General features: G+C 43.9%; 1 protein-coding gene and 1 long non-coding RNA gene across 2 annotated transcripts in view, besides 1 other annotated feature; one reads left to right on the top strand and one right to left on the bottom strand.

The window, feature by feature from the left end:
- LOC107986583 (uncharacterized) overlaps positions 1-25158 on the top strand; it is a 40750-nt gene extending 15592 nt beyond the window's left edge. Inside the window, exons 2-4 of the long non-coding RNA XR_001744057.3 lie at positions 23663-23804; positions 24021-24090; positions 25118-25158. This is a non-coding gene — a long non-coding RNA (uncharacterized LOC107986583). The remainder of the gene's footprint in view (positions 1-23662; positions 23805-24020; positions 24091-25117) is intronic.
- BTN1A1 (butyrophilin subfamily 1 member A1) lies at positions 1382-11504 on the bottom strand. The gene is made up of 8 exons (NM_001732.3): positions 11449-11504; positions 10442-10577; positions 9870-10217; positions 6601-6882; positions 4975-5124; positions 3837-3857; positions 3720-3746; positions 1382-3306 (listed from the first exon to the last, which is right to left on the bottom strand). Exons 2-8 carry the CDS (start codon positions 10518-10520, stop codon positions 2633-2635), a joined length of 1581 nt encoding a protein of 526 aa, NP_001723.2. The 5' UTR covers positions 10521-10577; positions 11449-11504; the 3' UTR covers positions 1382-2632.
- Positions 10086-10215: an enhancer, noted in NCBI's record as "active region_24245". NCBI's record gives its function as "activates an Ori minimal core promoter by ATAC-STARR-seq in GM12878 lymphoblastoid cells {active_cell/tissue: GM12878}" and the evidence as "EXISTENCE:reporter gene assay evidence [ECO:0000049][PMID:35858748]".
- Positions 25159-27975: the final 2817 nt, after the last annotated feature.

Here is a 27975-nt window from a genome sequence, read left to right as displayed (position 1 = left end):
GGAAATATTTGGGAAATCTTTAATGTTAAGGCCTTGTAATTAAAAGAAAAAAAATGGGGTGGGTGATCTTTGGATATTATTTGATATAGTTTGGATCTGAGTCCCCACCCAAATCCCATGTTCAATTGTAATCCCTAATGTTGGAGGTGCAGCCTGTTGGGAGGTAATTAGATCATGGGGGCGGTTTCTCATGAGTGGTTTAGCACCATCCCCTCAGTGCTATTTTTTTGGGAGACAGAGTCTCTCTCTGTCGCCTAGGCTGGAGTGAAGTGAGTGGCATGATCTCGGCTCACTGCAACCTCTGCCTCCCAGGTTCAACCGATTCTCCTGCCTCAGCCTCCCAAGTAGCTGGGACTACAGGCATGTGCCACCAAGCCCGGCTAATTTTTTTGGTATTTTTAGTAGAGACGGGGTTTCACCATGTTAGGCTGGTCTTGAACTCCTGACCTCAGGTGATCTGCCTGCCTCGGCCTTCTAAAGTGCTGGGATTACAGGCGTGAGCCACCATGCCCGGCCAATGCTATTTTTGTGATAGTGAATGAGTGACTAATTATGACATCTGATTGTTTAAGAGTGTGTAGCACATCCCCCGCTCCCCCCTCTCTCCTCCCCCGTCCCTGCTGCTGTCTTCCTTCTGCCATGGCCATGTAAGATGTGCCTGCTTCCCCTTCGCCTTCTGCCATGATTGTAAATTTTCTGAGGCCTCCCCAGAAGCTGAGCAGAAGCTGTCATGCCTACATAACTATGAGCCAATTAAACTTCTTATCTTTTTTTTTTTTTTTTTTTTAAATGGAGTCTTGCTCTGTCACCCAGGCTGGAGTGCAGTGGCGCGATCTCAGCTCACTGCAACCTCTGCCTCCCGGGTTCAAGTGATTCTCCTGCCTCAGCCTTCTGAGCAGCTGGGATTACGGGTGCCTGCCACCACACCCGGCTAATTTTTGTGTTTTTAGTAGAGACGGGGTTTCACCATGTTTGTCAGGCTGGTTTCAAACTCCTGACCTCGTGATCCACCCGCCTCGGCCTTCCAAAGTGCTGGGATTACAGGCATGAGCCACCGTGCCCGGCCTAAACTTCTTATCTTTATAAATTACCCAGTCTCAGGTATTTCTTTACAGAAATATGAGGATGGACTAATAAAAAATTGTTCCTGAGTTGAGATTCTGTATTCCTGCTTGAAGACCCTGGTAAGCAGTTGTTCCCTCATGAGGCATCAGCCCCCATGTGCACCTGCCCTGGTGAGCCCACTGCCATCAGGCCTAGGGATGGGTCTTAGACCACATACAATGGCAAAGCTTTAGACAGCTGCATTCCCATGCAGGTTTCTTGCCCTATGTTTTATTTTGTTTCAGTTGATATTAAAAAAGAAAGGTTAAGAGGTTGCTTTCAGCAATCAGACAAACTTATTTATTAGGTAAAGACGATGAGCAACGTCTATCCTGGAAACTGGAGAATACGATGGAAATGGAAGGTATAAGCCTGGAGTCTATTGGCAAGACAAGCCACATGTGTAAAGGAAAGTGCTCAGGGGCAAATACACAGGTGCAATCAGTCCAGCTGCACTGAACACAATGATGCAGCATTCAGGGGACCCTGAGGAGAGGCAGCATGTAGGAAAGCTGGGTAGGGAAAGTGAAAGGTGCACAGTGTGGAAACGGAGGCAGTTGAAGCTAACTGAAGGTGTGTGTAAGGGGTTTGGGCATTGAGATGAGGGCTGAGGTGACATAAGGTTGAGATGGTGACTGAGCAAGTGGTGATATCACTGAAGGATGACTTCTAGGAATGTCTTTGAAATAGAGAGATGCTATAACAAAAAGAAGAGGACAACTGGAAACTTGTGGATCAACAAATTGAGGGTGGAATGACTTCCAGGCAAGGGAGAAACAGGAGGGCGCAGAGAAAGGAACAGGGTACAAAGAACAGCTGTGCAAACAACTTTTGAGTTTTGTCAAAAATTCTCTCCTCTATCACGCTTTCTGCCTGACCCTTCATCCCTGCTCATCTCAGTTCCTCTCTGCTCTCCCTTTTCCACAGCTCAGACCCATAGAAGTGGGGCCAGTCTCCTCTGTCCTATAGGACGTGGCTTAGAAAATTTGCGATATAGGCTGTGAAAACTCTATGGATGAGCCAGGTGTTCATCATGTGCCTGGATTCACCTCACTTCCCTCCATCATAATATTCCCTCCAAGTTCCTTTATGGGATTTCAGCCTGAGATTGTCCTTTCACAGCACATTTTGAATTTTCCACTTGCCTAAAGCCTGTTTTTCCACATACCCTTATCCTGGATACCAAGATATTTCAACCACAACCCCATGCTAACCTGACCCAATCTCGATCCCTAATCTGTCCTTTGAGTTTGCTCCAAGTAGTTTCCTATAGGTTCTAGTCTTAAGGGATTAGGAGAACACTAGAAGCAGTTTGAGTCACCCCTCCATCCCCCAAATATTGGTACAGAAACAGATTTGGAAGGTGCAATCCCCACCCTCTCTAGCAGCAGCAATGTAACCTTCACAGGATTAATTAATTGCCACCCAACAGGAAGAAACAGACTGGGTAAAGCTAGCAGGTGAAGCCTCAGAAGGCTATGGAGGAGAGGGGTTAGAGGAAAGGAAAACAGATGAGCTGAGATATTCCTTAAGGTGCCCCTTGGCTGGGTTGGGTAGGGATTAGCTTAGAATGGAGAGTGTCTGCATCCCTAGGGGCAGAGTCCTCCCCCATGGGGGACAATGGGATCTCCTTAGAAAGGTCCTGGGCATTAGCAATGACTGTGACCCTCTCAGGCCCATCAGCAATTGGGCAGATGGTCAGGGGCTTTTTACCGCTAGACCATAGGCAAAAGAAGGGCCGGAGGGGGCCAGAGAAAGTGACATTGGAGAAAGTATAGATATCAGATCCATCATTCATGTTGTAGAAGGAGATGTCTCCTGATTCATAGTCTAGGAAAATCCCAACCCGGCGTGGGGGCCCTGCCAATGGGAGAGGGGTCCGGAGAGGAGTGAGGGCCCAGTACCCATTTCCATACAACTCTACAGCCCAGAACCCATTCTCAGGAGTCATGGGGTCAAATCCTTTCTTCATCACATTCTCCCTACACACGCCGATTGCCCAGTCAGTCCTGTCTCCCACCTCCACCTCCCAGTAATGCCTTCCTGAGGTGAAGGTCTCACGGCCCAACACACAGGGCCAGGAGTCAAATCTCTCTGTTTTCTCAGGCAGTTTCTGACGTGAATCTTCCAGTCGAACAGATTTTGAATCCTCATAAAGAAAGAGGTGGGGATGAGCTGTGTCTGGGTCCAGAGTCACATCAACTGGAGAGAAAGAAACAGCAGGTCTGACATCAGTGAATATTACAGGTTGCAGGACTGTCTTTCCTTCTCCTAAGAAACAGAACACTGTTGTAGGAGTTGACAGGTCTTCTGGAGGTGGGGGGATGTTTGGCCTGCTCAGGGGTCTCCATTCACCACAGGATCCCCCCTTACCAGCAGCCAGAGGGTGATGTAAGAGCTAACTGTGCCTAGGGCCTAATGGGACTCTGTCGGAAGTGCCATCTTCCAAGGGTTCTCTATGTGCCTCACAGAAACTGTTGAGGCCATCTGTCATCACCGTTTCCCTTCCTGTCCTCATCACTAAAGTGTTAGTGTTTTCATTTCCAAGTATCATAGCACTTTGAATTCCTAGGGGATAGAGCCTCAGAGCCCTAGAGAAGTTCAGAGCCACTGACCTGCATGCAAGGTAGCCTTTTTCCATTCTGCAACAAAAGAGAAAGATAGTCATTGACAGGTTATATAATAAGAGAGAGAAAACTCTGTGGGTGAAATAACAAGAAGACAGAACTTACTGAGTTCTTCCAGGAGTCTCTCTGGAAAACAAACAAAAATACCTCAATGGCTTTCTATAGTGGACGTAAAGGAGGGGACAAAACTCGTGTGGGAAACACACAAAGGAGGAACTGTTTAATTCATGACTATTTGAATATTGAAGCATTGCCAATAAATCAAGAACAAGGATTTTGTTTTGCTTTGTTTTCGAAGAAAGATGCAGGAAGTTCCTACATATTGGAACTGGCTTGGGATCAGATTTTTTTTTTATAGAATCTCATTCTGTTGCCCAGTCTGGAGTGCAGTGGTGCAATCTCTGCTCACTGTAACCTCCATCTCCCAGGTTCAAGCCATTCTCCCGCCTCAGCCTCCCGAGTAGATGGGACTACAGGTGTGGGCCACGACCCTGGCTAAATTTTGTATTTTCATTAGAGACGGGGTTTCACCATGTTGTCCAGTCTGGTCTTGAACTCCTGGCCTCATGTGTTCCACCCATCTCGGCCTCCCAAAGTGCTAAGATTACTACGGGCATGAGCCACTGCGCCCGGCCTCAGATCTTTAATAATAAGATTGGTACTGGGCAATTGAGTTAAAAGTGGGAGTAGGGTCTGAGGGTGGGTAGTGAGTAAACATCAGCCCTGATATCTTGATTAGACTCTGCCTATGCCCCAATCCTCTGTGCTTCTTCATATTGGCATCTGTGACTTCAGGACCCTTATGATTTCCTCCAATTTTCAGAATTCTAGAATCAAGTATCTTCTACTTTTTTTGAGACGGAGTCTTATTCTGTCGCTCAGGCTAGAGTGCAATGGCACGATCTCGGCTTACTGCAACCTCCACCTCCTGGGTTCAAGCAATTCTCCTGCCTCAGCCTCCCGAGTAGCTGGGATTACAGGCACTCACCAATAAGCCTGGCTAATTTTTGTATTTTTAGTCGAGATGGAGTTTTGCCATGTTGGCCGGGCTGATCTCGAACTCCTGACCTCAGATGATCCACCTACCTCGGCTTCCCAAACCGCTGGGATTACAGGCGTGAGCCACCATGCCCAGCCTCAAATATCTTCCTGTCATCCTAAAATAAGTCATTCTAAAGGACTTGGATCCAGCCTGCCTCTGAAGCACTCCTGACACGTAGCCCTTGTGGATTCTATGGTTTACCTTTAGAGCTGAATTCATTCCTCCTCTCTCTGGGTCTTTCGTTGTATAGTCTCCAAGTGAAAAATATGGACCCAATGGTGAGAAGTCCTAGAACCATCAGGATGACAGCCACAGCCACTATCCAGGGAGTCAGCCTTGGGAGGGAGGAAGCTAAAACAAAATCCCCAAGAAGGACATTAGTTGAGAAATTCTGAGCAAGTCCAGCTTTTCTCCACATTCCAAAGGAGGGTAGAAGAGGTGATGGCCTGGACCACTCTCATCCCTCATATAGCAAAAAAATAGTCACTCCAATGCCACTCTAAACTTTTCAGAAAAAAATTGACTTCAAGCAGGAGTCAGCAGAGAAAGAGAGAAATGACGAGTAATTTTGGGACAGGACCTGTGAAATAATAAATATAATGGACCAATTCATGTCATTATGGAAATTCTTCCTTAACTATCAGTGCAGAATGGGAGCCAAGAGGATGAAGGAGGTAAATAAGGAAGGGGAAGTGTGCCTCTGTATGTAACAGAATGGGACTCATTGACCAAAGAATAAGGAAAGGTTTCTGCCTGAACCAGAGACAGTATCTGGGGAATAATGAGAGGATTTTCTTCCCTGAGGACCCTGGAAACCTAGACAGAGCCCTAGCATGGGATAGGAAGGAGAAGTGAGTATGGGTGGAAATGGCAAAAGTAGAAAAATAACTTAGTCTTTTTTTTTTTTTTTGAGATGCAGTCTCGCTCTGTCACCCAGGCTGGAGTGGAGTTCAGTGGCGCAATCTCAGCTCACTGCAAGCTCTGCCTCCCGGGTTCACACCATTCTCCTGCTTCAGCCTCCCAAGTAGCTGGGACTACAGGCACCCGCCACCATGCCTGGCTAATTTTTTTGTATTTTTAGTAGAGGCGGGGTTTCACCATGTTGGCCAGTATGGTCTCGATCTCCTGACCTTGTGATCTGCCTGTCTCGGCCTCACAAAGTGCTGGGATTACAGGCGTGAGCCACCACGCCCGGCCAACTTAGTCTTTTTGTTTACTTGAGGAGAGAAGGCTCTGGATCAGGAAGGCCTCCAGGGACAAAGCTTCTCTATCTCACTTAGATCTCCTGAAATGGAAAATCTGGAATTTCACTGGGTGTGATGGCTCACACCTATAATCCCAGCACTTTGGGAGGCCGAGGCAGGTGGATTGCTTGAGGCCAGAAGTTCAAGACCAGCCTGGGGAACATGGTGAAACCCTGCCTTCGCTAAAAATACACAAAATTAGTTGGGCACGGTGGTGTGCACTTGTCGTCCCAGCTATTCTGGAGGCTGAGGCAGGAGAATCGCTTGAACCTGGGAAGCGGAGCTTGCAGTGAGCTGAGATCATTCTGCTGCTGCACTCCAGTCTAGGCAACAGAGTGAGACACTGTCTCAAAAAATAAATAGATAAATAATCTGAAATTTATTTGAGATCAAGGTAGGTTTATGTCTTCAGTATCTTAACTCTTCTAATAAAGTTGGTGGGGTTCCCTTAAGTCACTGGAAAAGAGCTTAGGTGGGGAAAGTAGACAACTCTGCCATGAGGTCACATCTGGGCAGGTGTCCCAGGTGGTGTGGCTCTGAAGCTGTGTCAACATAGGAATCCAGCAGCATTGGTTCCACTAACCTGGTATGGATATTTCTACTTTCTTCTCCTGGCCAAGAAGGAGATTCTGGATGTAGCAGGACACATTTTTCGCAGAAGTGTCTCTGATGATCACTGAAGCAGCCACAGTGAACAAACCTTCTTCATCAGGATTCCTGGACTCTGATGTAGATGGAAACTTCTCTCCCTTGGAAGTTCTCCACTGCACCTGGGGCTCTGGGTACCATCCCACTGAGGTGCACTCCAGACAGATTTCTCCATTCTCTTGAACTTGCATACTGATGTGAGGGTCAGAGCCCAGAGCTATGGAGAGAGAATCTGGACTTAATGTTTTAGCGGACCCCTTTTGGGAGCCTTATAACCAGAGAGCTACATAGTTTGAGAAAGAGAGAGACAGAAAGGCACAAGTGGACTAGTAGGGGGAAGAACTCATCTCCATATTTCAATATACAAGGAAACTGAGGGCCAGGCACAGTGGTTTATGTCTGTAATGTCAGCACTTTGGGAGGCTGAGGCAGGATTACTTGAGTCCAGGAGATCAAGACCAGCCTGGGCAACACAATGAGACCCCATCTCTTTGGGCATGGTGGTTCTTGCCTGTATTCCTAGCTACTTGGGAGGCTGAGGTTGGAGGATTGCTTGAGTTCAGGAGTTCAAGGCTGCAGTGAGCTGTGATGGCACCACTGCACTCCAGCCTGGGTGACAGAGTGAAATGCTGTTTCTAAAAAAGTTTTTTTTTTTTTTTAAAGGAAATTGAAGTACCAATAAAAGGAATTTCATATACCTTATCAGAGAAGGATGCCTTGTTGGGATCAAGCCTTTGAAATGTTTGCAGCAGTTTGGTGGGCAGACTTGGGGGTGCTTGTCCAGCCAGCAGGAACACTAAGACCAATAACTCAGAGGTGGGTTAGTGGTCTAGGCTGAGAGCATTATGAGAAGACTTTGGTGGGGAGGAGGAGAAATAGGACTGGGTATTTAAGGATGAACAGAGGAATATCCTTGAGGAGAGGATTGGCGATTCTTTGGCTTGAGATTATAGTTGACAATTTAAGCTTTCTTTATCTATGATGTTGATTCAGAAATTTTCTTAAATGGTCTCAACTTCATATTCCCTCACATAATTGTGGCCTGTTATATATAAACATAAAGCTGCTTTTCTTGTGTGTTTAGCCTATTTTTTTCTGTAATTCCACATGGTACAGAAAAACACTGAGCTGCATAAAAGAGCTCTTAAACACATTTCCACAACCACTGGTTAAAATCCACATTCCAAGAATGTGTGTATATACAAGAATATATATTCTTTTCATGGAAGGAGCTGCCACTTTCAGCAGATTCTCAAGGGTGTCTGCCACTCATAAAAGGTAACACATTTTATGCCATCAAATTTCTATGTTTTTATAATCAAGCTTTAAGATACTTCTTCCCTAAAAACAAAATGTCAAAATTTGAATTATACATGATGCTGCAACTGGGGGACCCTGTTGTGAAGCAGGGACCCACATTTCACCCAAGTATTTTTCAAACTTTATATTTACTTGAATATATATCTATGTATATATATATATAATATATGCATATAGATTTAGATAATATATACATATATGATATATATGTGAAAGGCAATATGTTTGTATATTATATGTTTTAGATCAGTTTAAGGCACAGTATAGTATCTAATAAGTCTATAATGTTTTTAGAATTGGCGAGGTCATTTCTCATATATTGTCTAATTTTATTTTATTCTTTTTTTTTTTGTTAGAGACGAGTCTCACTCTGTTGCCCAGGCTGGAGTGCAGTAGTGCAGTCTCAGCTCACTGCAACCTCTGCCTCCCAGGTTCAAGCGATTTTCCTTGAGTAGCTGGGATTACAGGTATGACCCAGCTAATTTCTTTTTGTATTTTTAGTAGAGATGGGGTTTTGCCATGTTGGCCAGGCTGGTCTTGAATATCCTGATCAAAAGTGAGTCACCCGCCTTGGCCTCCCAAAATGCTGGGATTACAGGCGTGAGACACCACATCCCACTTTTTTTTTTTCTTTTTTTGACAGCACACTCTATTGTCCAGGCTGGAGTGCAGTGGCAACCATCAGCTTACTGTAACCTTGAATTTCTTGGCTCAAGAGATCCTCCTGCCTCTGCTTCCCAAAGCGCTGAGATTATAGGAGTTGGCCACTGGTCCCAGACTATTTTATTCTTGAAAAATAATCTTAGATAAAAACATCCTCAGTTTTACAGTAAAAATCAGAAAGAGATTTGCTTGATGTCATTCACTAGGAATTGAGAAAGTCAGACCTCAATGCGTACTTTCCTCCTCAAAGCTTATTATTTTCTTTATTGTTTCCCTTTGAATTCTGGCTTGAAGCAAAAAAGGGAACAAGAACAGAATCTTTTCTATATGAATCAGGAATGTGACAAACCGCCATGCTCTCTAATCTTAGGATGTCAGTCTTTAGAAACTAATCCATAAGCCAGCCTTAAAGTGTGTGGTATGCTCACCACAGCCATAAGATGTGTAATGGTGAGAAATACAATTTAAATGTACAATTCAGGGACTCGATGAAGTAAATTATGGTGTACTTGTATAAAAGAATGTTATATAACTCTTATATGTATTTAATTATTTCATGAAGAAATGCTTACCCTATTATTGAAAAAGGGCTGGAGATAATTGAAATAAAGTTCTACAATAAAGACATTGCACTGTTCTCTCCATGTTCAACTCAAAACCCTTTCTCACTGATTTCCTACTGTAGGACCTTCAGTACCTTCTAGCTGTGGAGTCCTAATCAGGGGAAAACAAAGAGATAAGGCAGATAAGCTGCAAGTCTGCCTTTCTTCATGGTCCAGTACACAGCCCTCCTGTGCAAATAACTCACAGTCATCCTTCCTGTGTCCAACTATCACCAAACACCTGCAAGTTAGCTCACTGCAACCTTTGCCTTATAGATACTGCACAAAGCCATCTTCAACAGACAGCATAAAAACTATTCTATAAATTATCCAGCAAGCCTTTGTTTCCTGGCAGTCAGCTTCTCTTTTGCTGATCCTGCCTTTTGCCTCCTCGAAAAGTATTTTCATACTTTTAAAAGTAAATCTGCCTTTCTTTACAACTGTCTTGGTAAATTCTTTTACCCCCCCTCGCCTCCCGCCCAGATAGTCGTCCCTCCCCGGCGACATCAACCTAAAAGAGATTTTGAGAATGAATCTGATGGTTTCCAAAGTAACTGATCCATACGAAAGTGTATACAGCAGGGGAGTCGTCGGAGAAAGTCAAAACCCGTCTACTCACCAGCCACCTTCAGATGCACCAGGGCTTCTTCGTAGCTTCCATCCTCCCTGAAAAAGCACGTGTACTCCCCGTCGTCAGAGACTCTGACGCCACGGATCCTCAAGGCCACGCGCCCCTTGGCGATGCCGTCCTGGACCAGCGTCGCCCGCCCGCGGTACTCGGGCATCTGCTCGGCTTCCTGCTCGCGCCCGTCCCTATGCACCAGCACGGCCGGCGAAACCTTCTTTCGGAACCAGCGTAGCTCCAAGTGCTCGGCGCTCGCGTTCGGAGACAGGCGACAGGGCAGCTCGGCGTCCTCACCCACAACGGCCAGGATGGGCTCCGGGGGTCCAATCACGTCAAAGGGAGCTGCCGAAAAACGAGCGGGATCAGACGGGATGTGGAGATGGGAACTACGGACAGACACCGACCAGATTCCCGCCAAAGCGCAGTGCCCCGCGCTCTCTTACTCCTTTGACAGCTGAGTTTGTCTGGATCCAGTGGAGGTCTCCAGGGAGAGCCAAGTGGGATTGTTTATTTTACATTTATTGATATATTTCAACTATGCAGCCCAGAGAGAGAGAGAGACTTACCTGAATCCAGTTTGGGCAGCTGGAGGAGAATGAGGGTGAGCAGACATCTGGGGAGACCGGAGCTTGGGAAAACTGCCATCTCCCACCCTTCTGGAGCAGCAAGATAACTGATGTGAGTCCCCTCAGGAGCTTCAGCCTAGGAGATGAATGGACAGGAGACAACTACCGGCTCTGTCAACCCTCCGCTTTCCAAAGTCCTCTCTACAGTTCTTTCCAGCTGCAAGTGTTCTGGTCATTTGCCCCTGAAACCTCCTCTCAGCCTCCATCCCCAGTATGGATTTTTAGTTTACACTGTGGTTATCACCTTCCCACCCACTACTCTAACTCTAAAACTTAGGAGAAGGGAACTGTGAGGCATAACACTCATTAGTTGGTTGCATATCGATGAACAAATCTTGGAATCACTGCACTAAAAAAAAAGTCTCCTTTTTATTTATTTATTTATTTATTTTTGAGACAGTCTTGCTCTGTTGCCCAGCTTGGAGTGCAGTGGCATGATCTCGGCTCAATGCAACCTCAGCCTCCTGGGTTCAAGCGATTGTTCTGCCTCAGCCTCCGGAGTAGCTGGGACTACAGGCGCGCACCACCATGCCCCGCTATTTTTTGTATTTTCAGTAGAGACGGAGTTTCACCACGTTGGCCAGGCTGGCCTCGAACTCCTGACCTCGTGATCCACCCGCCTTGGCCTCCCAAAGTGCTGGGATTACAGGCGTGAGCCACCGTGCCTGGCCAAAGTCTTTTTTCAAATACAAGAATTTGGTATTTGCTTTTGGCAATGATAATAAAGATAAGGGTATAAAGGCAGAAATGGAGTCCAAGGAAATGAATTGGAGAAGAGAGAAAAGATGGGAGGAGATGGAGCAAGAAGCAGGAGCTGAAGCAAGCAAAAGGGCTTGAAGAGTAGAGGGCCTAGGACCAAGGAGAAAGGAGCTGGAGGGAGAGAAGTATGCTATGCCCCTCTGGCTGCTCACTCCCTCAGGGAGCTGAGAGTAACCACACATACTGACCTGGGTGATCTTGGAGAAAAAGGCACAAGAGGCCACTGCTACCAAGTGAGAAAGCTGGCTGTGGCCCCCGGGGCAAAAGTTAAAAGCCAGCAGGAAAAGGAAGCGGGAGGTGCTCTCAGGAAAGCCTGCCTCCAGGTGGCCTGGTATATTCACTCTGAGGAAAAAAAAAAGGGAGATGAAAAGTTTTTCAGAGAGATGGAAAACTGGATTTGTGGTCTTCAGCTCAGAAATCAAGATATGCATTGATGAGCTGGACCAAATGAAAGGCAGAAAAGAGAAAAAGAGAAGAGAGGCAAGGAAACACACAAATGAGATGTGATGGCTTCAGCCAGTTATTTCCTCTTTCCAAGCCTCAGTTCTTTGATCTCTAAAATGGTAATAATATTGATCATACCTTTCTTGAAGAGGTGTTGGGAGGATTAAGTGAGATTAAGCAGGTAAAGTGCTTAGCACATAGTAGGAACTCAGCGGAGGATAAATTGTTATTCTATTATTATTTCTGCGGGTTGAAAAATGAAAGCCCAGAGGCCAAGGTAGCAGTAGCCTCTGTCTATAGCCATCTTCGTTATTGGAGCGTCCGTCCACCTTAGGTGCTGTGTCTGTTGGAACAACTCCATTAAAGGCCAGTCTTAAGGGTAGGCTGTGAATTCTGTTTACAGGGCCCAAAAGTTGCCTCCCTGACAATTATTTCTTTTGAAGCAACTCATCATGAGGCCTACAATTCCTTAATTTATACTAAACCTACCTCTCATTGTTATGAAAAAATTTAAAAATACAGAAAAATATTTTTATAAAATGGAGGTCACACTTAATCTACTAACTAATGATAGCCTCAATTCACATTTTGGCATAGTCCTTCCAAGATTTATTTTATGCTTATGTATATCATAAAAGCAATCAATTAGACTTTTTGTGTAACTCAAAATATTGTTAATAGTTGTATAATTGCCATGATTGTGGGACATTTGGGATTTTTTTCCTATTGTAAATAATACACTTTATATATAAGTCTTTATTTGCAAATTGGATAATGTCCTGATAAACTGTTTAATAAATTTCCAGAAATAGAGTCATCAGATCAAATGGTATAAGCATATTTCTTTTCTTTTCTTTTTTTTTTTGAGACGGAATCTCACTCTGTCGCCTAGGCTGGAGTGCAGTGGCGTAATCTTGGCTCACTGCAACCTCCGCCTCCAGGGTTCAAAGGATTTTCCTCTTGCCTCAGCCTCCTGAGTAGCTGAGATTACAGGCACGTGCCACCATGCCCAACTAATTTTTGTATTTTAGTGGAGACAGGGTTTCACCATGTTGGCCAGGCTGGTCTCGAACTCCTGAGCTTCAATGATCTGCTTGCCTTGGTCTCCCAAAGTGCTGGGATTACAGGTGTGAGCCACCATGCCCGACCTAGTATCAGCATATTTCTACAGTCCCTTCCTGAAATGTTGAATCCATCACACCCTCAATGGAGGTGCCCTCACCTAATCCCTGCTAGCACTGAGAAGTTATTATTTCACATCCTTACTATTGGGATGGGTCAAGTTAATTAAATTATTATTTATTGTGCCTTTATATGTTAGCGAGGCTGGAGTTTTTTATGTGTTAATTAGACATTTAATACATTCTAGAAATGAGCTGTTCAGGCCAGTTGCCCATTGTTTTCAAGACTGGTCCTGGTGCTAGTTCTTAGCAATCTGTGTGAATTTTAATAACTTAAAAATATCAATCCTGTATTATATTTGTAACAAACATTCTTCCCAGTTTTGTTATTTATCTTTGAGTTGGAATTGTGATTAAGACAAAAGACAGTTGCTCCATTTCACCCACCAGACTGCCAAGAGAATGATCTTTCCCAAATGCAAATCTGATCATATCACTTTTTGCTTAAAAATCCTTCCACATCTCCCTAGTGACTTCAGCATCAAGTTTATGCACCTTAATCTGGTTAGGAAAATACTGTAGGTCTAGCTTGATCTGGTCAAGAAAATACTCTGGCAGTCTCCTTGCTTCTTTCCTGAGGGCTTTTTCTCCATTCCCCTTCTCCTTCCCTGCTTGTCCACCCACAGGCTGAATTTGGAGTGGGTGTGGTTACCTCAACCCACAATGCCTCTCAGGCCTCCAGATAGCAGTGCTTGCCTTCCCCCTTCCAGAATATTCTGTCTCTTCTTAACTTTTTTTTTTTTTTTTTTTTGAGATGGAGTCTCACTTTGTCACCCAGGCTGGAGGGCAGTGGCACAATTTCAGCTCACTGCAACCTCTGACTCCCAGGTTCAAGCATTTCTCCTGCCTTAGCCTCCCAAGTAGCTGGGACTACAGGCGTGCCCCACCACGCCTGGCTTTGTTGGTATTTTTGGTAGAGGTGGGGTTTCCCAATGTTGGCCAGGCTGGTTTTGAACTCCTGACCTCAAGTGATACACCCGCCTCGGTCTCCCAAAGTGCTGGGATTATAGGTGTGAGCCACCGCGACTAGCCTGTTCCCTCTTATCTTTATGATGAACTCCTATTCTTCCCTCAAAAGCTCATGTAAGGGCTGCACCTTCTGCAATGTCTTTCAGACATTGCATCAAGCAGATGCAACCTCACTTCTAGGGCTTCTCCTGATTAGCCTTTGTCCCCTCCAAGAGAAGTAGGCTTTCCTGGAAGATGGGCCAGGTGTATCCTGTGACACTTGGTCCCTTTCTCATGGCAGACACCTGATCTGAGCCCTAGTTTCAGAAGCAGATGTGTTTATTGTCATCTTTTGTTTCCAAGCTTGTCTTCCCCTCTTAAACTGAGCTTTCCTAGTTCTTACTCCCTGTCTTCTCATCAGCACATAGACTGAAATAGAATTTGTGGCTTCATTCAAACCCATCGTTCCTTAGCCTTCCTAGTTTGAAAGGCTCCTGTCCCATTTTCCTCTTCATGCTTAACTTTCTGATCATATCACCTATAATCTATTTCCCCTTCCTCATTTCACTTCTCTTATCAGCCCCTTTCAATGATACTTTTGTCTCATGCTTCATATTCTCATAAGACATTGTTTTCAGGGGGGAAAAAGAGCTTTTACTTGCAACTAACGGAGCCATACTGAAAAGAAAGGGTCTGGGGGAAAGAAGAAGAAAGTACTTGGAGCTCAAGCTATTGCATAACAGACACTATTTTGATTGGATAGCATCTGGGTCTTTTTGACAGAAACCAAGTCATCAGTCTTACACAATGAAAGACAGGATCTCTAAATTTCCCAAGGTTTAGAGAACAGAACCTCTAGGATGCCCCTAGGATGCCCCTGCCTGTCATGGTTCCTGAATGGGAGAGGCCTTGTGAAGTGGTGCTGCTCTTAGGAAGTTCCTGCTCTTCCCAGGCCCACTGCGAGATAGAAACAAAAACTTCTTCTTCTTAGACATGAAATCATTTGGGCTGAGGAATATGATATGCTTCATATGGAACCTAATGATAAAATGTCAGCATTTGTTTCCCCTCCCTGCTTTTCACTATAATCTGTTCAAATTTCTCAGTGTTATCCTCATGTCAAATTCAATGGTTACTCTCGTTCTCATCTTACTTGACTTTCATCACTGAGGCAACCATTTGAGTCTATTTATTTATTTTGAGACGGAGTCTTACTCTGTCGCCCAGGCTGGAGTGCAGTGGCACAATCTCGGCTTACTACAACCTCCTGGGTTAAAGCGATTCTCGTGCCTCAGCCTCCCAAGTAGCTGGGATTATAGACATGCACCACCATGCCTGGCTAATTTTTGTACTTTTAGTAGAGATGGGGTTTCACCGTGTTGGCCAGGCTGGTCTTGAATTCCTGACCTCAAGTGATCTGGCTGCCTTGACCTCCCAAACTGCTGGGAATACAGGTGTGAGCCACCACGCCCAGTCAACGTCTTTTCTTTTTAAATGTGGTTCAGTTGTTTTATGTGGTACTTATCTACATATTTCTCAAGACAATATCATTCTGTCAAAGTTTTTAAAAAAGCTCTTTATATGTATTACATGTATTTAAAAAAAAAACCAAATGGGACAAAGTGCTTTTAAGAAATGTCAGTTCCACTTCCCACTTCCAACCTATTACTCCTGAATCCCCAGAAACAGCTTCTTTAAGTGCTCAGTTGTTTTATCTGGTACTTATCTGCATATTTCTAGAGACAATACCATATTTATGCTGCTATTTCTCTATATATCCATTTCTAGATATTACTTTTCTATACCCTATTATGATCAATTATGATTTAGCTCTCTTATACCACCAGTAGTAATACATCACAAATTCTGTTCCATATTTCCAATACTGTGGCTATGTAACTATAGTTTTACGGGACCAAGTATCATATATGATTACATTTATTTTCATGTACAACCTCTTGTTTTTTTAGGAGTAGGGAGGGGGTGAAATGATTCATTTTTGTTCCTTTGTTTAGTTTTCTTTATTCCCCTCACAGGTTTTTCCCACTCCTCTAATTGACTCTAAGCACAGTTTCCATAGTCAAGCATATCAGGTAATTTATCAATCCCCTCTCTTCATTCTTCCCAGAGCAGCACTTGGGTCTTACTGAAAAAGAGATTCTGATTTAGTAGGTCTGGAATAGGACCAGGATTCTCACTGCTAGTTGCTCTGGTCCACAGGTCCACAGGGCAAGATCTACTGCCTACAGCTCTTTTTTTTTTTCTCTTTCTTGAGTGGGGGTGGTGTTCGGTGTAGGGTGTGGGGTTGGGGGGTGGTCTTGCTATGTTGCCCAGGCTGGACTCAAAATTCCTGGGCTCAAGGGACTTCCCACTTCAGCCTCTCCAGTAGCTAGGAATACAGGCACGTGCCACTGCACCCACCCAGCTATAGCTCTTTATCTTGCTCCTTATTCAGAAGCTTTCTGTGAAGAGGCAGCTACCAGCTTTGCATGAATTATGGAGATGCCTCTGAGGGATGGTTGTGGCTCAAGGTCTTGGGCTTGTTATACATGTGGCCATACTGAGCCAAGACAAAGGACTGGGGTGAATGGGCATCATGTACAATACTGTATTCTTCTGTGGCTTACTAGTGAGCTTTGTGGTCAGCTGCTCTTTCTTGGGGGCACACACTATTGATATGGTAGTAATAATCAGATATGACCTAATGGTGCTTCAACATTATTACAGTGACATAATTCCGCTATTTACCAAGCCCGTGTTAAAATTATACATACAGAGTTTGTATAATGTTATAATTATAATTTGTGTAATTTATGCACAACAGCTTGCATATGTGAAGGTGGAGGGGAAGTGAAGTGAAGATGGTGTGGAGATGAAGATGGTGGACTTCTGTGTGGAAGAGGGGTTAGCAGGGGTTTGCCCTGGGGAAGCAAAAGGCTGAGATCTGGTAGAGTGTGGACGTCCCTGAATTATATTCTTGGAAGTACTTTTGAAATGGAGAGTTCCTAGAACAAGAGGGGTAGACAGGGAACTTATGGGAGCCAATAAATTGAGGTTGGATTGAGTAAGAGAGAAAGAGTTCAGGGAAGGGATCAAGGTTGCGTGGACCACTGTTTGAGTTCTGCCCAGAATTTATCCCATTGCAGCCTCTGAGCTATCTTCCATATCTGTTCATCTTAGTCTTTCTTACTGTTACCTGGTGGGGTAGATCCTTCCAAAACAGGTGTACATTCTCCCGCGCGAGGACAGGCTATGATAAATGTGAAAATGCAAGACTTAGACATCTTAGGAGCAGCCTATGAATTCATTATTGTCCTGACTTCACCCTACTTTCCTTTTTTTGGTAGAGACAGGGTCTCAAATATTCTTCATTTTCATATATCGTGAGGCCTTGAGCCCTTGGGAGGAAGGAGCTCAGAATCCTGGAGAAGTGAAGACTCTCTGACCTGGACACAATTGTGCTCTTTTCCATTTTGCAGTAACGGAGGGGTTTATAAAAGGTTTGTTGTCTGTGGAACAATAGGGGTAAAAACTCAGAATTTTTCAAGCCCTTTGATGAGTGTATTTAGAAAATGAAAAAAAAAATTATCATTTGAGTTAAAGATGTCGGAAGGAAGATGGAATGTGTGCATGAAACACACAATGAAACAACTGTTCCCTTCTGTGAATACCTGATTACTGAAACATTATCAGTAAATCATGAACTTGCTTTTTGTTTCAGTTTTTGTTCTTAGAAATCTGTGGGAAGTTCCTTTTGGCTTTAGATGCTAGGAAATTTTGCTGTACCTGGGAACGAAAAGTCTTAGGGCCAAGTTTGGGGTGGGTAGAGTGGCACTGGGAGGATTATAGTGGGCTCTGACCTGTGGCCGTGCTGAACCTCATCAGCTGGAGCCCCCTGGAGCCCAACCAAGTGGGTTTATGGATACTTGTTACAGCAGCCTGGATTCCACACACTGTGGGCAGATTCCACACACCATGGGGAATTGGAAGGTGGAGCACATCACCCACGAGAAAGTATGGGAGGAATTTGTTGTAGGTGATTTGGGAGATGTTCAAGAAAGCAATGGATTGATCTGGATGAATGTCATGAAGCATTAGACAATGTTTTGTGTGTTTTTGTTTTTGAGACAAGGTGTCACTTTGTCACCCAGGATGGAGTGCAGTGGTGCCATCTCAGGTCACTGAAACCTCCACCTCCCGGGCTCAAGCGATCCTCCCTCCTCAACCTCCTCAGTAACTGGGATTACAGGTGTGTACCATCAAACCCAGCTAATTTTTGTATTTTTGGTAGAAATAGGGTCTCACTATGCTGGTCTTGAACTCCTGGGCTCAAGCTATCCTCCTGCCTCTGCCTCCCAAAGTGCTGGGATTATGGGAGTGAGCCACCGTGCCCGGCCCTATTCCAGTGCTTTTTATTAGGAGGTAGGAGAACAGAGAAGGCTCAAGTTGTAGTTGGTAAAGAAGCAGCAGTTACTCTGGTTAGCCAGGAGAGGGGTATGTATGGTCATTTTGTCTGTGCTCTGGCATGATTATGAAGTGGTCTTGTTTTTATCTCACTCAGTCACAGTCACAGAATAGCCTTGTTTGATATTTAGTGCTCTGTGAAGTTTCTTACTTTCAGTAGGAAACACACAGCCTAGCTGGGAGTGCCTGACCTGTTCTCAGCTGATAGCTGTCAGGCCTGCTTTTTTTCTTTCTCAATCAGAGCCCTCATTCTCTTTCAGGTCTAAAAGGTATTTGGCTTTTTTTTTTTGGAGACAGAGTCTTACTCTGTCCTGCAGGCTGGAGTGCAGTGGCTCGATCTCTGCTCACTGCAACCTCCGCCTCCTGGGATCAAGGGATTCTCTTGCCTCAGCCTCCTGAGTAGGTGGGATTACAGGGGCCCGCCACCACACCTGGCTAATTGTTGTATTTTTAGTAGAGATGGGGTTTCACCATGTTGGCCAGGCTGGTCTCAAATTCCTGATCTCAGGTGATCTGCCCACATTGGCCTCCCAAAGTGTTGGGATTACAGGCTTGAGCCATTGCGCACAGCCATATTTGGCTTTTATAACTTTTATTGTCCCTTCCATTTTGAAAAACCTAGAATCATTTTCTAGATTCCAGATGTATACATTTAGATGACTTTTGATTGGAAATCATCATAAAGTGTGTGAATCCAAGCACATGTTTAAGGTTTAAATCCCCACCAGGATGGAACATTCCTGACAAATAGCCTGGTATGGTGAAATGGACCAGGAAGTAAATTCATCGTTTCTGTTTTCCCCCCATTTCATTTCTGAAAGAAAAATTATTGTCTAAATGGGAAGTCTGAGGCATGTTACAGTCACTGAGCAGAGAATCACTCTTAGAGTAAGGGAGCTAAAACAAAATACCCCAGAAAAGTTGATGAGAAACTCTGAGGAAGTATTTTCCCCCTAATTGCACGATTGGTGTGGGAGTCGGGGGCGACTCAGGGCCTTCTGTGACTGCTGCATCTGTCCTCCAATCCATTCTTCCCTCCTACAGCAAGAAACAGTGGCTCCAAGTCCAACCTGATCATCTCAAAAAAGTTTTGAATCTTTCTGAGAGAGAGAAGGAGGGAGATAAGCAAGAGATATTATGAGAAAGGGCTTGTGAAAAAAAGAAACAAAAAAAATAAACCATTGGAGTTGATGTTTAAATCCCTCCAAGCTAATAAATACAGTATGGGAAATGAGGAGGATCAGGAAAGTGAGAATAAGGGGAGGTGAGTAGGAATGGGGAAAATGTGACATGAAGTGGCAAGGGGTCTCGTCTTTGGAGATTCTTCTGTCTTCCCTTTCTCTACCTTCTCAAGAGTCACACAGAATCAGGAATAAGTCAGCTTCCTGAGGAGCCCCTCTCTGCTTTTTAAACAGGCACTATTGAGATGTTACTTTCCTTCAGGTATTGGTTATTTATTTATTTATTGAGACAGTGTCCTGCTTTGTTGTCCAGGCTTGGTTACTGCAGCTTCAACCTCTGGGCTTAAATGATCCTCCCACCTCAGCCTCCCGAGTAGCTGGGACTAGAGATGTGTGCCACCACACTCGGCTGTTTTTATTTTTTTTATTTTTTGAGATGTAGTCTCACTCTGTCACCCAGGCTGAAGTACAGTTGTGATACCCTACCTTGTTCTAACCTGAATTGACTCTCCCTTAGCTGAGAGAGCCAGACAAACTCCATTTTGGCTTCTTCACCTGCAGCCCCTTACCCACCCCCTTCCTCAAGGAGTTAACTTGTGCAAGCTAACTCCCAGCACATCAAAGAATGCATTTAACTGATAAGATACTGTGGCAAGCTATATCCACAGTTCCCAGGTATTCGCCCGGTTGATAGTACCCTAAGCCCCCACATTTGTATCCGGTTGATGGTATCCAAAAGGCCTGCATCTATCACCTTATGATGGATTTAAAGCCCCTGCACCTGGAACTGTTTGTTTTCCCATAACCATTTGTCTTTTAACTTTTTTTGTCTGTTTTACTTCTGTAAGATTGCTTCAGCTAGGCTCCCCCTCCTCTTTATAAATCAAAGTGTAAAAGAAAATCTAGCCCTTTCTTGGGGGCCAAGAGAATTTTGAGCGCTAGCCATCTCTCAGTTGCCGGCAATAAAGGACTCCTGAATTAGTCTCAAAGTGTGGCATTTCTCTATAACTCGCTTGGTTACAACACAGTGGTGCTATCTCAGCTCACTGCAACCTCTGCCTCCTGGGTTCAAGCAATTCTTCTGCCTCAGCCGCAGGAGTAGCTGGGCCTATAGGCGCGTGCCACCACTCCCAGCTGATATTTGTATTTTTGTAGAGACAGGGTTTCACTATGTTAGCCAGGCTGTTTTTTTTAATTTTTAGTAGAGACAAGGTCTCGCTCTGTTGCCCAGGCTGGTCTTGAACTCCTGAGTTCAAGTGATCCTCCCGCCTTGGCCTCCTAAAGTGCTGTGATTACAGGCCTGAGCCACTGCACCCAATCTGTGTTTTTTGTTTTTGTTTTGTTTTGTTTCTTAATCTTCAGTTTCTTTAAGTGGAGATTTTTGGAGCAAGTTTCATATCTCTAAAAACTCTGGAATAAGTGGCTAACTCTGGCCATGTGGTCACTGCTATGAAGGTGTTGGTTTTGTTTTGTTTTTTTAATTTAGGCAGGTGTTGGAAGGGGGGACCCTGAAGGCATGAGAACTCATCATCAGACTAGATCAGCCACACTCAGCTGAGACCCAAAAGATGAACAATAATAAGAGTTGTTGTAAGTCAGTGAGTTTGGGGTGATTTTTTACTCAGCGATGGCTACACAATACAGAAATTGATACTTGAAAGTGAGGTGTTACAATATTGAAAACCAAAAATACGTGGCATTGATTTTGGATAGGCGGGAGCTAAAAAAAATCTTAATAGGAAGCTGAAAATGGCTGGAAACTGTTATGGAAGGTGTGGTATAATATGAAATATATTTGGTCTTTGTACTGAGAAAAAAACCCTTGAAATGTCCTGAGTGAAAATTCTTAGGAGTGTCTTTTGTTATTCATAGTGAGCCAATTAGATAACACCTGAGCTATTAAATTCGATAAGTTAGGGTAGGGCCCCTAGATAGCCTCAGGACAGGGCCAATCACCAGAAAGACTAAGTGATCAGAGGAGTAGAGGGTTAGAACTTTTAGCACCACTGGCCAACCTCCAGGAAATGGTATGGGGTTTGCAGACAAAGCTCTACACAAACTATACAACTATATAACTGTCACACCTGTCACTGTGAAGAGACCACCAAACAGGCTTTGTGTGAGCAACAAGGCTATTTATTTCACCTGGGTGCAGGCGAGCTGAGTCCGAAAAATGAGTCAGCAAAGGGTGGTGGGGTTATCACTAGTTCTTATAGGTTTGGGATAGGTGTACAAAGTACATTCTTAAGGGTGGGGGAGAATATTACAAAGTACCTTCTTAAGGGCCGGGGAAACTATATCGTATCAGTTAGGGTGGGGCAGCAACAAATCACAATGGTAGAATGTCATCAGTTAAAGCTAGTTTCACTTCTTTTGTGGATCTTCAGTTGCTTCAGGTCATCTGGATGTATACGTGCAGGTCACAGGGGATATGATGGCTTAGCTTGGGCTCAGAGGCCTGACAATAACTATACAACTACAGCTCTCTGTGAGCTTCCAGATTGTTTAGCACATGGAGGTGCTTAGAGAATGGTATGCCCAGAAAGGGCATGGACACTCCGTGTCGCCCTCCCATCCACACACATACCTTGTCCTGTCCATCTCTTCATCTGGCTGTGGAGCTTATCTTTTGTAATATTCTTTACAATAACCCAGTAAATGTCTGCAAGGAGATGTTTAGCAAAAAAAAATAAATAAATAAAAATAAGTGAATAAACAAGTAAATGTAAGTAAGCATTTCTCTGAGTTTTGAGTCATCCTAGCAAATTAATGAACCTCCCTGCTAAAAAGAGGTCGTGGAAACCCTGGTTTGTAGCTGTTGGGTCAGAAGAATGGGTGGCGCAGATTTTAGAATGGCATCTGAAGTGGGTGCAGTCTTATTGGACCCAGCCCCCAACTTGTGAGATCTGTCACTATCTCCAGGTAGATGGTGTCAGAATAGAATTATAAGATACCCAATTGGTGTCCACTGGATAATTGCCTTGTGGTTAGCAGAGGCCAACCCCATATGTCTGATCACAAAAGTGTTCTGTGTTTGAGTGTGTGAGTAGAGGGAGAGAAAACCTGCTTTTTTCCCTCAGAGAAGGCTAGAAGAAATGGCGACCTGTGTTATGTATTTACCAAATATTTATTCAAACTGTTGCCTGTAGAACTTGAGAGATATAAAATGTCATCTAATGAACTTTTGGATTTAGGCAAAGAAATTTCCAGGCAAAATGTTGGATATGTGAGTTAATTGCTTTTAGTTGCATACAAGATACTGCAGGAAAGAGGTGGGCTCAGGAAAGAATGGGCAAGTTTTGTTTTTTTTGAGACAGGGTCTTGCCCTGTCACCCAGGCTGGAGTGCACTGGTGCAATATCGATCTCGCTCACTGCAACCTCTGCCTCCCAGGCTCAAGTGATTCTTGTGCCTCAGCCTCCCTAGTAGCCGGGACTACAGGGATGCACCACCACACCCGGCTAATTTTTGTATTTTTAGTAGAGACAGGGTTTTGCCATGTTGCCCAGGCTGGTCTTGAACTCTTGGCCTCAAGCAATCCACCCTCCTCGCCCTCCCAAGGTACTAGGATTATAGGTGTGAGCCACTGGGCACGGCCCAGGCAAGCTTTTAAGTAGAATTTAGAAGATAAAGAACTTTGAGCTTCTGGGTTGAAAAATAAAACTGTTTTTCATCTATGAGTGTAGATGAGACAGTAGATCTCCAGCCAGCAGTTGACATACTCTGGGAGCAAAGATGAAATTCAGGGACTGCCATGTAAGATATGGCTTCTGGCTTAAGATCAAATGATGGGTGTGGCTGTAACATACTTCTTTATTATTATTATTACTGTTATTATTACAGCCCAGTGTAGACCAAAATACTTTTCAAATCCCTTGAAAGGAATAAGGTAATGTACAAGAGGGTTTCTGGGTAGCTTAAAGGGTGTGGACCCATAACAGCTTGCTGTACCCCAAATAAGATTTAGAGAAAGAGGTATTTCTCTAAAATAATTTGGGTGTTGCTTTTGACATGCGAGTGAACTCAAATCAAATACAAAGAAAACTCACAAAGCCTTGAGAAAACTGTATTGACAAAGTCAGCCTACATTAGAAGAGACTGAGATTGTTTGGACTCCCAATTTTGAATGCCATGAAGCTGGCCGAGAAAGTTACTCAGCAGACCAAAATGGTTTATTCTCTAAAGTTCTCTTCAGAAGGGGCTGAGGAGGATGGAAAATGAAGACTCTCCCAAAGGGTGGAACCAAGAGCTGTGGAGGACAAGGACACCAGAGCCACTCCCAGTGAACAGAACCACAGCCTAATCAAGGAACAGACTCTATCACAAAGTAAGGAAGAATGGCAACATTTGCCCAGTGGGATTTCATTTCATAATTGCTGTGGAACTGTGACAGCTATGGGTCTCCAATAATTCTCTCTCAAACGGAAGTTAATGTGGTAATTCTGCCTCTATTCCACCATTGTACATTGGGTGTGTGTGTGTAATGCAGGGATCTATGCTGATGGTGGATGGACTTACCCTTTTTTTGTTCATTGGTCTCCAGATCAAGAGGAGCTGGATCAAGCCTCAGGTAGAACATGAGGTGCTGGACTTTAAGAATGATGACAGGATGGGTAAGACTTTTGAAGGTCCCGTGATTGGGATTGAATGTATTGATATTTTTGTATGTGTGAGAGACATGAATAATTATGGCCTAGAGATAGGTTGTGGTTGAAGGACTTATTGGCCATCCCTGAAACCTTTGCAATGCTTCTTCATGGGTGAAATATATGTCCTACCTCTTGACTCTAGGCTTGCCCATATGACTTTTTTGGCCAGTAGCATGTGGGTGAGAATGATAGTGTGCCAGTTCTAATCATAGGACTTAAAAGCCTCACGACTGTCACTTCTCATCCTCTTCTGTCTCTGCTGGCAGCATGAGAAGTAGATACCTTGGCTTGCTTACTGGTCCCAGGAGGTTGGTAGATTCATAGAGCAGAGGTATTCCAGTTGACACATAAACTGGCAGGTGAGAAGTAGAGCACCCTATCTGAACTTAACTTAGATTAGCCAAACCCAAGTCATCTTGTAGAAATGTAAGCAATAGATATGCTTGCTTTTTAAAGCCACTGAGTTTTTGAATGGTTTACTAAGCAACAATAGCTAATTGATATAGATGAGTAGGATTTAGAAAAGAAAAAACAAAACAGTTTCTTTTTTATTTTATCTGGAAATATTCAGAAACGAAAAGACTTAAATTTTCCAGACCTCAGTTTTATCAACCACAATATGGACTTAATAATCTCTATCTCAGCCTGGGCAACATAGTGAGACCCTGTTTCCACAAAAAAATAAAAAATTAGCTAGGTGCGGTGGCATGCGCTTCCCACCCCAACTACTCAGGAGGCTGAGGTGGGAGGATTGCTTGAGCCCAGGAAGTTGAGGCTGCAATGAACCATGATTGTACCACAGCACTCAAGCCTGGGCAAGAACGAGACTCTGTCTCAAAGAAAAAAATAAAATAAAATAAAATAAATAAACTGTCTCACAGGGTTGTCATGAGAACTCTAAAAGAGTGAATAGAAACATTCTATAACTTAAACACACATGCACACACAAATTCATTTTAAAAAGTCCTCAGGTTTAACTCTCTTTGTACAGATGAAGAAACAGAGACACCATGAAGATAAGACTGATATGGTTTGGATCTGTGTCCCCACTCAAATCTCATCTTTAATTTTAATCCCCATGTGTTGAAGAAGGGACGTGACGGGAGGTGATTGGATCATGGGGGCAGTTTCCACCATGCTGTTCTCGTGATAGTGAATGAGTTCTTACGAGATCTGATGGTTTAAAAGTGTGACACTTTCCCTCTCACCCCTCCCTCTCTCTCTCCTGCTGCCTTGTGAAGAAGGTGCTTGCTTTTCCTTCACCTTTTGCCACAACTGTAAGTTTCCCGAGGCCTCACAGCCATGCAGAACTGTGAGTCAATTAAATCTCTTTTATTTATAAATTACCCAGTCTCAAATAGTTCTTTATAGCAATGTGAAAATGGTCTAATAAAATGACTTTTTAAAAATACAACCAGCGAGACCACGGCTGAATTTCTCTCTTCCTGAAACTTAGTGTTGTACCCTTTCTTTAAACAAAACTGTTCAAAGAGTATCAGCAATACCAGAAATAAATGAAAAAAGCATACAACTCCTCTAGAGCTGCAGCCATAAAAGACCGGTTTTTATACTTTCCTATTAAATATTTCCAGATCTGACTACTGCATTAATGATGGTTTTGACCAACATTGATAAGTTTATTTTTTTAAAACATTTTTTTTCCAGGTCATTATTACAAAAATGCATTATTGAATTGGTTTGAATCCAAAACACTACCCTTGAAGCCATCACTTTAGATGCCCGGCTCACTTTTAGTCCCCTCCAGCTACTGAGGATGAACCTAATGATAGCCCGGGTTCACTACTTACTTGCTTGCCAGTAAGCTCAAACTCAGGTCATGGGTAACCATGCCTACAGCCTTAGTTATTCTAGGATCACCTGAACCAAGTCAGCTTATCATGAGTTTGTTCTCCTGGAAACTTAGAGTACAATATTCCTTCATCCCAGTTCTAGGCCTGGAGATTTCCAGCGTGGACTGGAAATCTTTGAGGTTGGGTGGAAATGGGCTGTCAACTCCTGGGCCTCATAGCTGTCATGGTGGGATTTAATCAGGCTCACAGCTGTTTCCCTCTCCCAGCTTTCTATCCACTTCTGTCTCTGACCTTCATTTGTGGTTTCCTCTTCTCCTTAGGAGGCCCCGTAGTTCTCTCTCTGTCTCTCTCTCTCTCCCCCCACCCCCCCCCCATATATATAGAGAGAGGACTGTAAGTCCAAGCGTACAGTGTCAATCAAGCATTAGGTTGAATGTGCCACCCTGATGTTAAAGCAAGTGGTTTACAACATGTCATTTTCTCACACTTTTCTCCTTGGTTGACAACCCTGTGGCAGCAATAGTTTCCCTGAGACGGGACTTCGCCCTATGGTTATAAGCTAATGAGCTACTAAGGCAACAGTTTAATCGGGAAGAGAGGTGGGTTTGGGGCCTAAAATGGGTGTCAATGGGGCAACTGGAAGAGGTCCTTTTATGTGACCAGAGGGAAGAGCTCATTTACCACCAGGCATGGGGTAGAGTGTGCTGTGCTGTGGTAGTCAAGATGGCCAGGCCCTCTCTACATGACTCTGAGACCAGGAATTTGGTGGTGGTGGCAGTGGGTCCCCATCCTGTGAAGGATGAGGCCACACAGAGCCTCAAGATCAGCTAGAGTGAGAACTTAGGGCCTTCTCAGGTCTTTCCAGAGCACACACACAGCCCTGGGCATGTGCACAACCCTATGTATATGTGTGGACTTCTAGAATCCAAGAAATACGTCAGAGATTTTCAAAGCCCTCTGTATATATTTCACTCCTCAGCCTTTCCTATTAAGCTTTTTAGTTATTGTTTGCTCCAATGATTACCCACCATCTCAGACAGCTGTGATGTTAAACAATTGTCACTGGTTATTGTCAACAAATGCTCCCAGAGAAAACCCTGTTCACACTTGGTGAGCTTTGCGTCAGATCAAATAAGGACAAAGCTTGCAAGTGACGTCTTCTGGGTGCTGAGTTTCAGGACACACCATCCAAAAATATGAGTGCAGGAGACCAGAATATGCCATCTCAAAATATGCCACCCTGGCATACTGATCTTTTTGAGCTAAAAGAAATTAAAGACCAGCCAACATAGAAAAATCTCCTTGCCTTCCCCTCAACTGTCTGAAATGAATTATAAAACACCCCTTTTGTAAAGAAAAATTTACATCTATAAAAGAAATTTTTACTAGTAGAGGTATTTATACCAGGAAGAGAACTGCTTTGAGACAAGTTTTACCACTTGGGGAACTTTTATCTGTAACAAGGTAACCTTTACTCACCATACATTTTCTTCTCTCACCATCCCATAATTTGTCTCCATCGTTTCCCAGAAGCCCTGACTTCCTCCTTTCTGTAGCTCAGGATGCTATATTAACTTCAATCATCCGGCCCTTCTTTGAGTCTCATATTTTGAGATTTGAGGGACTCCTGTACATATGCATGTAATTAAAATGGTTTTTCTCCTATTAATCTGTTTTAGATAAATTTAATTAATAGCCTAGCCAAATAACCTAGAGGGGTAAAGAGAAGCAGATTTTTCCCTCCCCTACACAAGGAACAACCAGGCATGTCTAGTAATGACAATTCTCTAGGAATGGGGTTTTGAAGGAGCCCCAACCCCTTTCTATTCCCTCCAGTGACTGTCAGGCGCTGTTTTTCACTGTGATTGTGGGGTGGTTTCTAGGCTACTGCAGAGCTGTGGTGGGGTGGTGGTAGTGTAATAGGACATGTTAAAATGCCTATAAAACGTACTGTTCTTACTGAGGTTCAGCCATTTTTCTTGAATAAAATTCACTCTGATTGCTGCAAGCCTTAGGTTAATTTACAGAGTTCTGAGAA

Source organism: Homo sapiens, chromosome 6 (assembly GCF_000001405.40).
Source record: "Homo sapiens chromosome 6, GRCh38.p14 Primary Assembly".
Classification (NCBI taxonomy): Eukaryota; Metazoa; Chordata; class Mammalia; order Primates; family Hominidae; genus Homo; species Homo sapiens.
This window is presented reverse-complemented; position numbering and strand designations above follow the sequence as displayed.

Coding starts and splice junctions, on each gene's coding strand:
- BTN1A1 (NM_001732.3), bottom strand. CDS start 10,520: ATGGCAGTTTTCCCAAGCTCCGGTCTCCCCAGATGTCTGCTCACCCTC. Junction 10,218..10,441: donor GCTGCCCAAACTGGATTCAG/GTAAGTCTCTCT, acceptor GTTTTTCGGCAG/CTCCCTTTGACGTGATTGGA. Junction 6,883..9,869: donor GGTGCATCTGAAGGTGGCTG/GTGAGTAGACGG, acceptor CTCTCTCCATAG/CTCTGGGCTCTGACCCTCAC.